General features: G+C 39.6%; 1 protein-coding gene across 4 annotated transcripts in view; it reads left to right on the forward strand.

Annotated features, from left to right (window-relative positions):
• Positions 1-16,731, forward strand: part of CDH20 (cadherin 20) — a 222,350-nt gene that overhangs the window by 123,113 nt on the left and 82,506 nt on the right. The window contains exon 1 of one of the 4 annotated variants that reach the window (XM_024451165.2): positions 15,642-16,016. The exons of the other annotated variants lie outside the window; for them this stretch is intronic. The gene's annotated coding sequence lies outside the window, so the exon portion shown is untranslated. Of the gene's footprint in view, positions 1-15,641; positions 16,017-16,731 lie in introns of those variants that run through there. 4 annotated transcript variants of the gene reach the window in all.

Here is a 16,731-nt window from a genome sequence, read left to right on the forward strand (position 1 = left end):
AAAAACAAACAAAAAGTTTGGAGAAAGATGTATTGGGAGCAAAACATTTTTAGCCACAAAAACCTAGTTTTGGATGGGAGACATTTTGCAATGAAACACTTTATCTTAAAAAAAAAACAAAAAACACAAAAAAAGACTTCTTGATTAATGAGTCTGTCTCAGGCAGTTCAGGCTTCTAACAGAATACCATAGATTAAGTGGCTGAAACAACAAACATTTATTTCTCACAGTTCTGAAAACTGGGAAATCCAAGATCAAGGTGCTGGCAGATCTGGTGTCTGGTGAGGGTTCTCTTCCTGGTGTGCAGGTGGTTGTCTCTTGGTTGTATCCTCAAATGGTTGAGACAGAAATCATCTCCCTTGTATCTCCTTTCATTAGGCCACTAATCTCATTTCTTAAGGCTCCACCTTTATGACCTAAGTACCTCCCAAAGGCCCCACCTTCTAGGGAGTTAGAATTGCATATGAATTTTAGGGCAGAGACAAACATTCAGTGCATGAATGCATTTCTGGTAGAACTTTTTCCAGTCAGAAACCTTCTAAATAGACCTTGTGTTCTGCTTGAAACCTCTGTTTTTTCTTCCATTGTAGAGCATCATGTGTGTTTGATGCATTCCCTGATTCTGAAAAGAGGTAGTAATCTCTGATTTCTCACTCATTCCTCAGTGGTTGTCTAATTATAGTTTAATAAAATGAGCTCTGGGATGTGAATCTAGAACACCTGGTCTGAATAGCTTAATCTCTCTTAATAATTACAGTCATACCCAGCATTTATTTAGCACTTAAGAGTTTTGCCAAATGCTGTTCAAAGTGCTTGTTGTACTATCTCATTTAATGCTAACAACCACCCTAAAAGTCAGGTATTCTTATTATCATTCTCATTTTCCTCATAGATGAGGAAACTGAGGCATAGAAAAGTTAAATTACTTGCCCAGAATATCCTGGTGGCAGAGGCACTCCCTACTTAACCACCATGAATATGACTACTTCTTCCTAGCTGGGTAATTTTCTCCAAGAAATTCAATGCCAGGTCTGTTTCCTCATTTGCCTTTTGACTGGATGACACTGGTATGAATGCCTGTTCCTTCTACTTCTCAGACTTGTTGGAAGGATCAAATATGATGGAAGGATAAAATAATATGTTTGGAGGTTTTCCCTATCATTGGTGTTATTTTTTTTAAATATAAAATACGTAAAATACGTGGCAAGATCTTAGCTCTTTGGGAATTGAGGAAAACCAAAACTTAAAACAGAGAAAGCTGAGAATTCTCCAGCCTCTACCCCACCCCGTTTTCCATCCAGGCAATCCATAGCTGGCTGTGTCCCAGTTGACCTCACACAGCTGCTACCCTCTTATGTCCTAATTTTAAAATGTAGATTATCAGTGAATAATCTGGGTTATCAATCAACTCCTTTTATGAGTAAAGGAGCTAGTCTTCCTTCAAACACTCTTAAATAAGACCCATCTACAGCATAATGTGTGTGTTTAAACAAACATGACTGTCTTTCTGATCATGGCATTTCCTCTTCATCCTGCCCCTTCTCTCCAGCTCTGCTTCTCTTTTGTTGTCTGCCTGAGTCTTGCTATGAGACCTTCTCCATCTGGTTGCCTTCTCATTCCCTACAACCTCCTTCCTGTGTCCCTCCATCCTCTTATTTTACTGTAAGTGATAATATTGAAACATTCTGTAGTATTTATTCTATTTCAGAATAGGGTCTTCCTTACTGAAGAGGAATAGTGGAACATTCTAAAAATCCTGTTCTAAAAAGAACTCCAAAACACCAAAAGTTGTTAATGATGTATTTGGCCCTCAATCATAATTTATTAGGCCCATTCTTTGCCATATTTGGGGGAAAGCAGGGTCAGGAAAGTTGCCCATCAAAAAGGCATCTTGGAAAATATCTCTTCCCACACGAGACCACCACAGCCCTCTCCCTTCCAGAGCCAAGCAGCTGGGTCTGAGTTCTGCCAGACAATTGGCAAGCAATTGTTCTCCACAAACCCCTTTGATTCTGTAGGCAGCAATAGAGCCTCCCTCAGGGTTGGGGAATCAGGCTTAAGGCTTATGATGTGTATAACCTGTGACTCCTTCAGGATCTGAACAGACGCTAAAGGGCCCTATAGGCAGCAATTTAACTTGAAGCTAGATTGCACATAAGCATCTGAAAGCAGAAATCAGCCCTGCAATTGCATGTGAATTAATGAAGGCAAATTAGCCCAGGATTTGTGTTTGTTGTGTGGGAAGGTGATGGCAGAGTAAATCTTCCAAATTTAAGTATATTTTATGTTAATTGCATAAAGTAGCATAGATTTGTTGCTTTAAATCTCATCCATGGGGAGCTGGAGTTGGCTTGTTGATTTCTTTTATTATCCACTAAAATGACTGCAGTCCTTGTTTGTATTTACTTGAGAAGCACAGATCTATTTCTGAACAGCTTTACAACTTTAAGTGTGTTAAGAAACTTCTTTTTAATACCATCTAGTTAATCGTACAGTAATAGCTCCTAAGTGGAACATTATATCTATCAGTCTTAAGTGCTGCTGTGGATATAATAGCTTTGGTCGTATTATTATCATCTTTTTTATTTAAAGCTTTTGAAAAGCTGAAAATTAAATATGTCTCAATTTGCTATCATTGTGGCTATTACTTACCTTAGTGCTAAGTACATAGTAAGGACACTCTATCACCTCTGGTAAAATTATATTCTGAATTTTTTGATGATGGGATATAGGTTCAATGTAGATAAGCCTCTTCCCTTGTTTTCTCACACTCACCTCAATTAAAAATGTTTGTTCTGCAATGGCAAGTTTCTATAAACACTGATTTTTAAAATACCAGTTAGTGCATCTCGTGGGGAGAGATTTGGGATGAAGGGGGAAGAGGAAGTGGTGGAATGACATCCATGTGTGGTAGATACTAATGCTAAGTCCTATATGCACACCACCATACTAAGCCCAGAAATGGCCAGGTGTTGGGAGAAAGTCTGGACCCAAAAAGTTGACCTAAACTAGATGTTCTCAAAGTGTGCCACTCCTTGCTACTCAAGATGTGGTCCACCAACTAGCAGTTGTTGGTACCACCTAGGAGCTTTTCAGAAATGCAAAAGCTCAGGCCCCACCCCGGGGTGACCTCAGAAAAATCTGCAGGCTGACACGACCCTCAGAGGATTCCTATGCACTTTCAAGTCCGAGAAACCCTGTCTACACCACTCCAGGAGCCTTCCCTGGGAAGATGGAAAAGTGTTGTTCCCCTCTGCCTAACCTCAGGTTATTAACTAGGAATACTCTAATCATTCCTCTTAGGAGAGAATGGTGCTATACTGACAACTGAGAGTGAAAGGCTGTAACTCTTCAAAAATTTAAATCAGGCATCGAGATTTGGTGTCTGGGGAAGGAGAGACAGGGAAGAGGGAAAGTGTCCCATACTCAATTCCAACCAACTGTTGAAAAGAAAAGCTCTTGTTGGAACAATTTGACCTTCTTCTCTGTGTGATGTTATTGGATTTGAGTTCCTTTCTTCTAGAGGAGGACACACTGGTTTTAAAAACAAACAAAAAAAAATGACCTAAATTCAGTATTCCATCCAGATGCTTTCAATTTGGCAGGCGGGAAGCAAGTTTTGCATAGAGACTGAGCTCACTGAAAGGGATTAGAATTTTCAGTTTAAAATTCCAAAGGCATTTTAAAGTCAAGAAACTGTTTAGGGGGGAAAAAATAAATACAAGTGACCTTGATATGATTCTGCAATGATATTCACATCTCAGAGCCATCTTGGAATGAACTCCTTTGGGTACATTTGCATTTAGTCTTCCTGGCATTGAATTCAAAACAACAGACTTTATGATAAATTTCACTTAGGCAAATGACAAAAAAGTAAGAAGCTGAGTAAGATCCAAAACACATCTAATTTAACAGGAGGAGCAGCTCACAGAAGCCTTATGCAGGGCAGGGAGGCAATAGCATAAACAGGCAACCACCACTACAAAGGCTGTACTTACTCAGCTAATCACATCTCAGAATTGTGTGTCGTCTTTGCTGTTTAAAACAGTCCTGGAAGTCATACGCATGACAGACACCCATGGGAGTTACTAGGGTAGCACCACCATCTTTCCCTGAAGGTAATTTGCAGGATCAGATGGACTCTGGTCTCAAAATAAATTTGAGACTTTTGATATCCCTTGACCATATGGTTTATTTATTGCATAAGCTGTTTTGCAGAGGCTTTTTACTTAGCCATTTGTGATTTTCTCTTCTTTTTGCCATTGTTTTCAATAATTAGATGTCCTAGACACAAATAGTGACTGTCAGGCAATATTTAAAAACTTTCTTAAAAGTATTTATTTTGAAGTAATTTTTTGATTTAGGAGTAAATATATCTTTTGGTATTTTTAAGTCAGAATCTTATTTAGAATATCTCAGGTAATAAGTACTAAAGAATTATATGACATTGTTATTTATATTTTCTGTTCACTAACGGTAATACATTAATTTTTTAGTTTTAAAAGGAAAATAGCAATTTTGCATTTTGTGAAAAGGTAAATTTGAGTCATCACATATATAAATGTTACATACGTGGCCTATACAAGTAGGGTATTTGAATTTAATATTAATTGGGAAAATATTTTGGATTTTTATTACTCACGAGTATTCTATCTCAAACAGTATATAAAACTACAGAACTCATTCAAAATCGGATCAAAATGATTACTAACTATAGAAAAATAATTATTCATGGTGTATTAGTTCCCTAAGTTGACGTAACAAAGTACCACAAGCTGGGTGACTTAAAAAAAAAAAAAAAAAAAACCAGAAATTTATTTTCTCAGTTCTGGAAGGTAGAAGTTTAAAATTAAGATGTTGGGAGGACCATGCTCCCTCCACAGCCACTAGGGGAGGAGCTGCCTTGGCTCCTCCGGCTTCTCATGGCCCCAGGCATCCCTTGGTGTGTAGCATCATGAGCCCAAACCCTGTCTCTCCCATCTTCTCATGACCTCCTTCCCTGTGTGTCTGTCTGCTCCTATTCTTAGAAGGACATCAGTCATATTGTTACCAGTGGAGGGTGTCCAGGTTCTTGGCATTTTGAACAAATAATTGGACAAAATGCACAAACAAAGCGAGGAAAGAATGAAGCAACAAAGCAGAGGTTTATTGAAAATGAAAGTACACTCCACAGGGTGGGAGCAGGCCAAGTAGAGGGGCTCAAGAGCCCTGTTACAGAATTTTCTGGGGTCCAAATATCCTCTAGAGGTTTCCCATTGGCCATTTGGTATACACCCCTTGCAAATGAAGTAGTGGCCCTCAATCAGACGCTGAAGTGAAGTTATAAAGGTTACACTCCTATGCGAACGTCTGATTGGTTGCTTTCCACAACCAATCAGAGGCTAAATAGTTACGAAGTTGCACTCCTATGCAAACGAAGACTTGGCCCGCATTCAGAGGCTGCAGTGAAGTTACAAAGTTACACTCCTATGCAATTGGTTTGCATAGGAGTACCAATCAGAGGTACTCTCAATCTTCCATCTGCTAGGCAAAAAGGGGAGGGGAGTGCAAAGGAAGCAGCCTCTGGTCCTTTTGTTACTTAGGCGTGAAAAGTTGGGGTTTTCCTTTTCCTTCTGATTGCTAAGACAGTAAATTTCAAATGTTCTCACCATTAAAAAGAAGAAGACTGTGAGGTGATGGATATATTAATTAGCTTGCTTTAGTCATTTCACAATGTATACATATATCAAAACATCACCTTGTACCCCATAAATATATTACAATTATAATTTGTCAGTTAAAAATAAGGAAGTCAGCATGAATCGGCCTTAGGTTCTCTGCCTTCAGACCCTATTCTCCTGCCTCAATATTGGGTTAAGGACCCATTCTAACAGCCTCATCTTAACATGATTATATCTGCAAAGACCCTATTTCCAAATAAGGCCACAGTCATAGGTACTAGAGGTAAGGACTTCAACATATCTTCTAGGAGGGACACAATTCAACCAATCACATATGGCTAGCATTTTCTCAGTGATGGAATATAGCCAGTAACTTTACCAAAATGACATATTATCCTCTCTGCTCCAAAAATTGAAATAATTTTTTTTCACTTCACCAAAAGGAAACAGAAATCAAACAATAGTTGTTAATGTAAGATGCCTGACTAGTATCCAATAATGAATATCTTACAAAAAAAAAAAGGGGGGGGGGGCATCTAGGGCATGTCAATGGTGGCAGCACCAATAATAAGGGCTAATAACTCAAGATCCTTGAAGTTTTCTGGTAACACACCTGCCTGGATGGCATAGAGTTCAAGAAAACAAAGTTCAAAAGGTTCCTCAGGGGAAGAGATAAAAGCCTTAGTGCCTAAAGTCATTTGCTCCACAAATATAAATAATTTAGCATGGCAATTATTCTTTGATAGCAGTTGAATGTCTAGAAAGCGTAATTCACACTAAGTTATATACCATTCAGGATTCAACATATTGTAGTAAACAACTTCTTGTTATTGCAATTGTGTGTTTTTATCTAAATACCTCACTTTCTTACCCGACTTAATTGTCTTCCTGGACTTAGAATTTCCCATCTCTCCCTTGGAGTACCATTTCAAGGGCCCTTTCTGTTGTCTCTTTTCCCTTTTCCCCTCTGGGATCCTTCTCGCTTCCTTGTAGGCACCTTCATGAGTGCTCTCAGCACTGTTCTCCTATCCTTGCTTCTTCTAATCTCAGCCCCAGCTCCTCACCCCATCCCGGTATCATCCTCAAGAGAATCAATGGCTGATAGACTCTCAACTACCTCCCTCATCCTCCCAGAGCTTTTCCTTGGTGGTCTGTGTGAATCTCTAAATCAAGGAATGTTAACCTGAAGTGTAAATATTGGTACATTTTTCTGAAGAGTGTAGTCAAGATTGTTGTCAGACTTTCAAAGAATTCCCTAATCCCAAAAGATGAAAGAGCCAGACTCTAAATAGTGAAATGCTATTGTCAATGAACATGTTTGGAAGGGCATAAGAGGGGTGAAGGTGGTGGGGCCTTCTCTGAAACACACCCTTTGGCTTCCTTCTCTTCTCTTTGGGAGGCTGTGCGTTGGGGGAGAAAGAGGAGAGTAGTGCTGGGGGCTGCAGTGAGTCTCCTGTTCACATTCTCCTCAAAAACCATTGACTTACTCTGAGTTCTGCTTCCTGGTTTTCAAGCAGAAATCCCATCTGAAGGTAGGTTCGGTCAACTCCCAACTCTGGGCACTGTGTCCTCACTCTGTCCAGGGGTGACGAAGATTCCAGGGCTCAGGAAGCACACATTCCTAAACCAAGGAGATGTGACAGATGCCTGGACCAATGGGAAAATATGTGCCCCTGACAAGGAAAAGAGAATTCTGCATCTTTAGAAGGGCCCAGAAGTATCATTTCTCCCTCCTCTGCCCACACCGAGCCTGGAAACACCTTGTTAGCTATCCATTAAATGAGATAACATATGTAAAGCACCCAGCATGGAGCCCGGCAGATATTAGGGATTCAATAAATATTAGTTACCTTCCCTATTAAAAGTAACACCAGCTACAGTGTTTATGTGATTCGCTTGCTATTATTACTATATAGCACAGTAAGAAGTGTGTGCATAATTAAATATGTACCACTATGGTAATTCTGTTTTAAAATTTTATTGATAACATCATTATATGCTTTATGTAAGCTCAGAGTTTTTGTGCTTATCTGGCATGTTTATGCTTCTAACTTTCAAAAAAAATCAAGGTCACAGCTGAGGGAAAAAGAGTTTGGTGGTTTAGCAAGGTGTTAAAAAAAAAAAAGTTAACATATTGCACAATTCTTATTATTTTTCCTGTCCAAACCTAGTCTCACCCCTTCCCACTGATTTCTCCACCAACCCACTGTCCTCTCGGCCCATCACACAACACTCCCTCCCTTTGTCTCCATTAAAAAAATTGGTAGATAAGCTAAAAAACTTCACATGTCACTGCTAGCAAAGACCAGGCTATGTCCAGGAATATCCCCTCCCATCTGTTTTCTGGATGCTTTGATTCACTGCACTGGTCAACTTAGAGTATGGGAACCCCAGCAGGGTAGAGCTTGCTGCAGGAGCTGACAGTTCCCTGCCAAAACTATCCTCACTACAGAATCACTGATCAAAACACTGGCTAGAAGTGAATGTGGGCTGTGACTCAAAGCCACAGGGGACTGAAAGCAACCACACCCATTTATCAATATCTAGGACTAGGAGGAAACATTAGCATCACAGTGAATAATAGCCAGACCTCTCAGACTTGAAAGCAGACATTAATGAACCAAGCCCAGAGCTGACGTTGAAGTCAAGGTTGTGGCAAAACCAGTTAGAATCCTCCATCATGGTCTAGATGTGAATGATTAGTACTAAAATAAAATGTAGGAAGCCACTGGACATATTTAGAAAATCCTCAACAGGGTCTGTCAATGTTTAACAATAATCTTGACTCATAACTTCAGGAAATGACACTATCCACAAATGGAATCAATCATTTCAAAATAAGCCTTGTAATATCAAACAACTTCAGCTCCCAAGTAAACCCTCAGGAGTATTTTAAACATGCTCTTCACAGAGCTCACTAGAAATAAACCAGTTGGCCTGGCTGCCCAAGAATATGCCCTAGATATTGTTTTCAATTGAAATTGAAAATAGGGTCACTGTCTGCAGGAACTGGAACACCTTACTTTCTACACATATACCCCTACAGCTGCTAAAAAGAAAACCAAAAAAAAGCAAAGAACAGCACCAAATCTATTAACTCTAGTCATTCTCCAGCCCCCTAGCCTCTCTCAATCATAACTTTGGATCTGATAGTTACAATTGTCATTTTTTACAAAGAATGGCATGTTGGCTCATCTTCTAACTGCATGGACCTTTTGCTAGTAGCACACATACTTCCCATTGTACTAAATAAAATAAAATAGAAGTAGCAATAAGAATCTCAGAGTTTTTAGAGTTACCAGATTTGCAAAACTGAATTGACACTTTGATCTCCAAAACATTTTTAAATTTTGATAGCTTGGAAATAAATTAACTCTCAGAAAGAATTACATGGGGAAAAAAAAAAAAAGAACTACGTGGGTTGGAATTTTGTTTTCAAATCAAGTGAATTGTAATGGTCCATTTTGAAAATTAACATTGAAATGAAGCAAGAAGGTCAACAGCATAGAGGATCAAAGCATCCAGAAAACACAGGGAAAGGAATATTTATGCATTTCTAATTCTATTTCTAATTCTACAGAGAAACTTAGTGACCCACCAAGATATGGAATCTGCTCTGGGAAGGAGGTATACTAGTCACATAAACAATATAAGGCTCCGACCTGGGCAACCTGGAGGAACCATGTCTCTAAAAAAAAAATTTACAAATTAGCCAGGCATGGTGATATAGGCCCGTAGTCTCAGCTACTCAAGAGGCTGAGGTGGGAGGATGACTTGAGCCCAGGTGGTTGAGGCTGCAGTGAGCCATGATTGTGCCACTGCACTCCAGCCTAGGCAATAAGGCAAGACCTTGTCACTTAAATATATATATTTTCTCATTAAGCTATATATATATATATATAGCTATTTATATATATAGCTTAATGAAGACATATTTCTCAAGAGAAGCAAATAGCTTCTTTTTACTGTGTGAATAGTAACATTACTTTTTTTGAAATAAATGGTAATTTACAAAAGGTAAATAATTCCAATAGTGATTCTCTATTCACCGTTTTACAAACAATTCCTGTTAGTATAGTTGTACTTACAACATTTACAATAGAAACTTACTATTTTACAAACATTTACAATAACTTACAACATTTACAATAGAAACTTACTATTTTACTTAAATGCTATATCATACTGCATTTCTTTAAAAATGAGTATTCAAAAATCCTTTCATGACATGATGTTCTAGTCACGCAGAGTTACGGGACATGCAGCTCATGATGTCACCACCATTTCTTCAAGGGCCGTCTTGTTACGACTTTACCTTCCACAGTTCACCTAATTAATAAAGGTGTTCGAAACAATCTAGGGGACAGAGAAGAGGATTAAGTCCATGGAAATCTCTCAATGGTTTTTCCTTGGATCCACAACTTGAGGCCAGCTTCCCATGAGGTATCTATCTAGGGACTAACCTAGTAAAGTTTTGGGAACTCCTCCTAGTAAAGTTTAGGTCTGAGGGAAACAACATTCCCTCAAGATGGCTTTAAGGCAAAGAAAGAAATTAGCGCACAACTACAGAGGTAACTCAGAATCCACACACAGGAGTTTGGGCTCAGCCTCCAGAGGGACTGAAACAAGGAGCAAGAGCCTGCCCTCTTCCCATGCCCTCCCCGCCTCCCTCTTCTCTGTCCCACTTCCTCTGCTCTGCTTCTGCAGGGCACAGCGCCCCAGCCATCCTTGCAGGTTCCCTTCCATACTCCCAGCAAACAATGTGCTTGGCCTGGCTTGGCTCAGTGTCCATCCTGTTCCAGTTTCAGCCTGGGGGATGGGCAAGTTCTTTGTTACAAACAAGGCTGCAGGGGCCAGTCCTTTAAGGATGGAAGGTCAGTTCTAAGACAGAAATATGCTAGACAGACACTCCTAAAGGTGTCTGGTACCATCTCTAATGACAGTATATATATATATAATGATCAGCTGCCACTGGGGAGACATATTGCCATGATATCCCCTCAGATTTTCTCATTAGAATCATGTGCAAATTGTAGTATTGGAAAATCAGTTTCCTATTCTCTCTGTATTTGGAGAGGCTTGTGAGGCCTAATTTGCCTTCTTCTCCGCTTGAGAATCTGACAATTTCCACATCATCACAATGAAGAAACATATTTATGGTGTTTGGGGTTTTTTTCCCCAAAAGTCAGGTATAGAGTGTCTTTTTGACAAGCCAGTTACAATTTTATGTCTCATTACTAACAAGCTTCCATTTCTCACTATCCATCAAATACAGAGTTTGCAACTTCAATCACTTTGAGGAACCACCACTCCTGGCCAATAACTACCATGAAATCCCAAGTTAGAAAAATTCACTCCCTCCCTCCAAAAATAATGAAGGAAAAGATCCAAACAATTATGAGGAAAGATGAACATGATAGTTTATGCCATAGGGATATTTTCTTCTCTACTTTTGGAAAGACAAACTTTTACTGAGCATCTCTTATGTTCTACACACGGGGCCTTCCTGTGGCACACAAGAGGATTTCATGCTTATAGCAACCCTGCAATTCTATGCATTGGAAACCGTCTGGGCCTCAGAAATATTAAATCATTTGCCAAAAAACACAGAAGTAGAATCTAAAGCTGATTCTGCCTGACCCCAAGGCTTACGTTCGCTTACTAGTACTAATAACTAGTATCTATTGAGCATTTGCTGTGTGCGAAGGCTCTGCCCCATTACCTCACATATAGTGACTTATGTAGTAGACATAGGAACTACTATTAGCTTCGTTTTACAGGTGTGGACTCGGATGCACAAAGAGGTTAAGTACTTGCCCAAGTTTACACATCCTGTACACAGTGGAGCAGAGGTTAGAACCCAGGCAATGCAGCCATACTTCCCATCAAGTTGTCTCCCCTGGAGAATGTGATTCTGTACATATCACGGGTCCCTTTGTGATTACTCTCAAGTTAATAGGCCTCAACTGTATCTGCAAGAGCAGCCGTGATCCAATCACCAGCGTCAAAATGAAATTAAGTCAAAATTGCATGGTTTGCCTTTCACTGCATGTGTGGAGAACAGAAATGACAATCTTGATAGCCAAGATTCTCAAATCCTTATTTCTCCCTAAAACAAGTATTTTTCTTTATGGCCCCAAAAGATTCAAGACATCAAGATACGCTAAGGATGTTCTGAGTGAAGGAAATCCCTTTTCATTTCTGTCTGTAGGGATGTGTAGGTGTGTGAGTGTGTGTGTTTGGGGAGGGGAAGGACATACTGCTAAAGAATAATGGTAAATCTTTTCTAAGAATATTCTTTTTCTTATCTCTCCTAAGCATATTTAATGCTGAGAGACTTTTAATGCACTGTGTTTCTCTAGTATCCCTTTTTCCCCCCTACTTGCTCCACTAAGTGTCTTCCAATTTCAAGTCACTACAGTGCAACTGGCTTAGATAATGTACTGTCATCCATACCTCATATATCGTGTCCAGGGAACTCGCCTTACTGTAAGCATCGCTTCCATTGCAGCAAGCTGGCTATGGGCCATGACCTGTGGGGGCCCCAGTGCCCATTTATTGTAAACTATGGATTGTGGGTGATGCTAATGAAGTTCCTCAAAAAGCCACATTTGTATGACTTTACATTTTGCTGTGTTTCCTTAAAAATTGCCAGTAAAAGACTGGCAAAGGTGTTCTTTATTATGAATTTGTTTCCCCATTTCTTGATCTCTCCTGTATAGGGGAAACTAGTTCCATTCATCCCACAAATCTCAACAAATCCCTTCATAACCACTAAAAATCAAACCCCTCCCCTCAAAAATCCTAAAACACAAATGTGGTCATTACCTCCACATTTGGAGCTTTATATGCAAATTGTTTATGACATTCACAAAGCTAGGAAGGAACTGCAATAGCACTGTGATTCTGGAAAGATGAAGCCAACTTCAGAATTCAATTTTCAAAAGGAAATGCTATGTTTGTTTCATGTCAGCCTCTGCTTCAGATCAGAACAACAACAACAAATGAATAAAGCTAAAACCATTGCTCTGGCTGGTTATTTCCAAGCAAAGCAGAGGCAGATGGAAAGCCACTCAGTTGGCTGTAGCTCCTCATGTCGTCTACTTCCAGTCACTTTGAAAGCAGCTGAGCAAAGCTTAACCCCAGTTGGATGAGAATGAATACACACACACACACACACACACACACACACACACACACACCCCTATATAAATAACATTATTTTAGAAATACAGACTGGGTTGTCACACACACAGGTGATCTGGCTGCTTCAGCAGTTTCGAAACAACAGTCTGGCTGCCCAGTTAGGGTAAGGCCTTGTCTCCTCTCCCCTCTCAACCATCCTATAGTGGGCAACACAGGATACAACCTTGGTTGTGTATGTGACCCTCAAGCAAATCCAACACAATATCTCATTAAGGAAAGATTTCTAGCAGGGAGCTTGTGGCATTTTGTAGATTTAGAATCAACCTTTGGAGTATAAACATACGTATGTATGTAAAGAGAAAATCACCCATGCCATTGCATGTTTGCATTTACATTTATGTATATACATTATCATTTCCAGTTACCTATATACACATGAAATTAACAAAAAATGTTAGTTACACATACACATACATACACACATGCTTACTACACCGAACACGGGGAGAGGGATGTAGGTACATGAACTATATCAATGATTCATAGAGATTCTGATAAAGACTTGTACAGGGAAAAAAAGAAAGTGTAACATGATTTTTAAATGAGTTTCTTTCCCCTATATGTTCAGATTTCTTACCAAAGACCATTTTTCTCATTGCAATCTGGTGAAAACAGTTTGAGAGTTGCCTCTGCTGGTCTTCACCAGATGCAAAAAGAACACAAGCACCAACCCATCACATCTTTTGTTCTCACCTCTGCCGGCGGTCTGTGTGTCAGTTCCAACAATTCCCCTGCCAACGGCTATAAATGCGTATCATACACACCAGAGCACCCTGGGGGGTGTGGAGAAATCAGGGCTCGGTTAGCTGTGTGATTACAGGGTCGCATCTTATCATCCCTGTACACAACCTATCCCGTGACTGTTTGCAACAAGACTGGGCACTGGCTGTATCCAATCTATTTCTACGCCGTATTGTTAATGGTCAAAACTGGCCTTGTTCCCCTATTCCCTCCATTTTCCAACGGAAAAAGGAAAGGAACCGATAAGCCTGAGCTCAATTTGTTCTGGCAATTATTGCAAAGTTCCTACTGTGAGGGAGGCCCTGCCCGTTGGTGCGGAATGACACGCAGCCATCCAGGGTCCAGACAAAAGGAGACCCTGCTTTTCACCAAGTGTATTCAGCCATGTATAGACATATTGGCTGAGATGCCTGCTCATTCACGCCTTAACGGGAAAAAGAGACAAGAACCTGGAAAGAAAAAAAAAAGAGAATGAAAGATTATCAAGTGACACCAGATAGAGAAAGGACAAAAACAAGAGGTGAACTTGGTGAAGAGGAAGAAAGGAAAGAATTTTGACCACAGAACAGTAGATCACTGATATAATATGGGTATATACGTTTTAGTACTATTGACCTAAATTATGCTTTTATTACAGATAGAGGTTTCTATAATGATACTGAAACGTGAAATTGAGGAAAGTTATGCTTGGAGGTTGGATTATATGAGCCTTCTTCTATCTTCTCCTCTTTCTCTCCCTCCCTCCCTCTCTCTCCCTCCACTAAGCCACAGCTGCACATTAATTCAACCAAATGAAACTGTTGGAATGAAATACCACCAAGACGCATTCTAAAGTGTAATTTTTCTGAAACATGTAACTTGATTAAGAAACCAAAGTACCAGTCAAAAGGTGAAAGAAATATATTATATTATGATGAAAAAGAGGTCATTTAAGAAAAGGCTGAAATAGTACTTCTTTTTGAAATGGCATATGGAGACTTTTATAACTCTGAAAAAAATGTGACTTTTTCTTAATACTTGTCCTTATTCTCTGCTCATGAACAGAAGGAAAATGTTTGTAGATAAGGTCACTTTAAATTCTAGGCCATAGCACATGTTGCTCTCTGCAGCCAAATGCCCTCATCTGTCTCCCTTTCAACTCCATCCAGTGATAATTGTTCCACCTACCTAACTCTCCTGTCTACTAGGAAAACAGTTGACAAGAGATAATGTCAGAGTTAGGTCCGTGACATACCAGAAATTATATCTCCCAGCAAAAGTCATTTATTTCAAAGGATAAGTAATATAATGAACTGGAGGAAATTAAGTTAATTTTAAAATCTGTTATCAATTGCTTCTCTTTAGTCATAATGGAACTGGGGGGAAATTACAGATTCAATAGCAACATGCATTTTTTCCATTATGAAGAATGGCTTATTCAATGGATGAATCATTAGAGAATGATCCCTGTGGCCCTGTGGAACTCCACACGTAGAAGCAAAATGCAAAAGTTTAAGATGTAAAACATACTATAAAATTGTTGGAAAAAGTGAACTACAATCCCCAATGATATTACCTCTTATGGCAATTAAGATCCCGTTTGTCGGAGCATTTATAGCCTCAGGCAAACTCAACAAACCCATTCCTGGCTGTCGGTAATGACAGGTTTCTTAGGGAGTATTATTTAATTAACAATAATTTGAAAGAGAAGCTCAGCTGAGATACTGCATTTACTTACTGGAAACACTAAGTAATGGTAAGTGAAAAAGACATGTGATTTGTTAGCCTTCCCATTATCTTTTGTTTCTGAAATGCATCAGTAGCTGATAGGTATTTGCCACTAGATATTTTCAGCTGTCTGTGAGGACAACATGTCCAAAGAACTTTAGCTCTTACTGTACAAGGCTGCACATAGTCCTGTGCTGTTTGATTCCGTTAAGAAATCCCCCAGGGCCTCAAATGTTCAGGGCCAGCATTCTTTGTCCTTCCCCCTCCAGACAAGGGCAACTGCCAGCTCCCCTTCCTTGTATACCAGGCTCCCTCCCACCCCCATACATCATTTGCTGCTAATCACCTAACTTAAGAGATGCCTTTTGTTCCCACTCCCTTCCTAAGTCGCTTTAGGCTGCATCAGCAACTTGGGGGCTGGCTGGGTCTTACTTCCCCCCGAGAGACGTGCTCAAACCCCACGGCATAGGCAGCAGGGGAAGGAAAACCTTCTTCCCTCAAAGTTACTGGGCTGATGTCCTCGCATCCGATGGCCTCTTTCATCCCTGATTCTAATTTAAAGACTAATCTGGAACTGGCAAAAGGAGGGCCACTTTAAGTTGTCCTGACATACAGTGGGAGCTGGCAGCAGGAAGGGAACTCCACCACTCAGGGGCAAGCTCGGGAAAATGCAAAAATAGCGCACTCCGTGAAAGGAGAAAAGTAAGTTATAAAACTTTTCATCTTGTCTGTTATTTCTTTGCCATATCTTTACGAAATGTTCAAGATTGGTCAATGAAATAGAAAGATTGTCTTGGGAAATGAATGTGTCAATGTAATTCCTGTGGGAGCCAAACAAAGTGATCTGAGATAATCATTTTAAATTATTATTGGGTGGCTGTTAATTGTAGTCACTAGTGCCCGTTAAAATTCCTGCCAACAGAAAATCTTTATCTCGACTTGATTTGTGATAAACTTAGAAATGAGCAGTTGGTGTGGAACATGGTTATTAAGCAAAGCAAATTTCTTTCATGGCTTCTGAAAAAGACAAATCTGAAATCCCAGCCAGTTAGGTCGTGCTTATGTCTGTGAGTAGATTAGGACGGGTTGTGTACACAGCACTAGTTTCCACCGTGGGTTAAGACTGATTGCAGGAGCAAAAGATTTTTCTCTTTGATTCTTTTGAGTCTAAAGTAGTTTTTGCTCAAATAATATCAAAGGCATCTGATTAAACACATCTCCCAGCAGGATTCTATCATAGGGCATACTTTATTATGAACAGTATAATCAGATTGATGTAATATGGCATCAGCCAGTGAATGTCTTGTTTTGAAACAACTTGGGGAAATAGATTTTTATCTCTCTCTTTAATCCTAATTTGATGCTATTAACCAATTCTATTATTTAAATTGACTATTAAGATTGGAATCCGTCTGAT

Source organism: Homo sapiens, chromosome 18 (genome assembly GCF_000001405.40).
Source record: "Homo sapiens chromosome 18, GRCh38.p14 Primary Assembly".
NCBI classification, from domain to species: domain Eukaryota; kingdom Metazoa; phylum Chordata; class Mammalia; order Primates; family Hominidae; genus Homo; species Homo sapiens.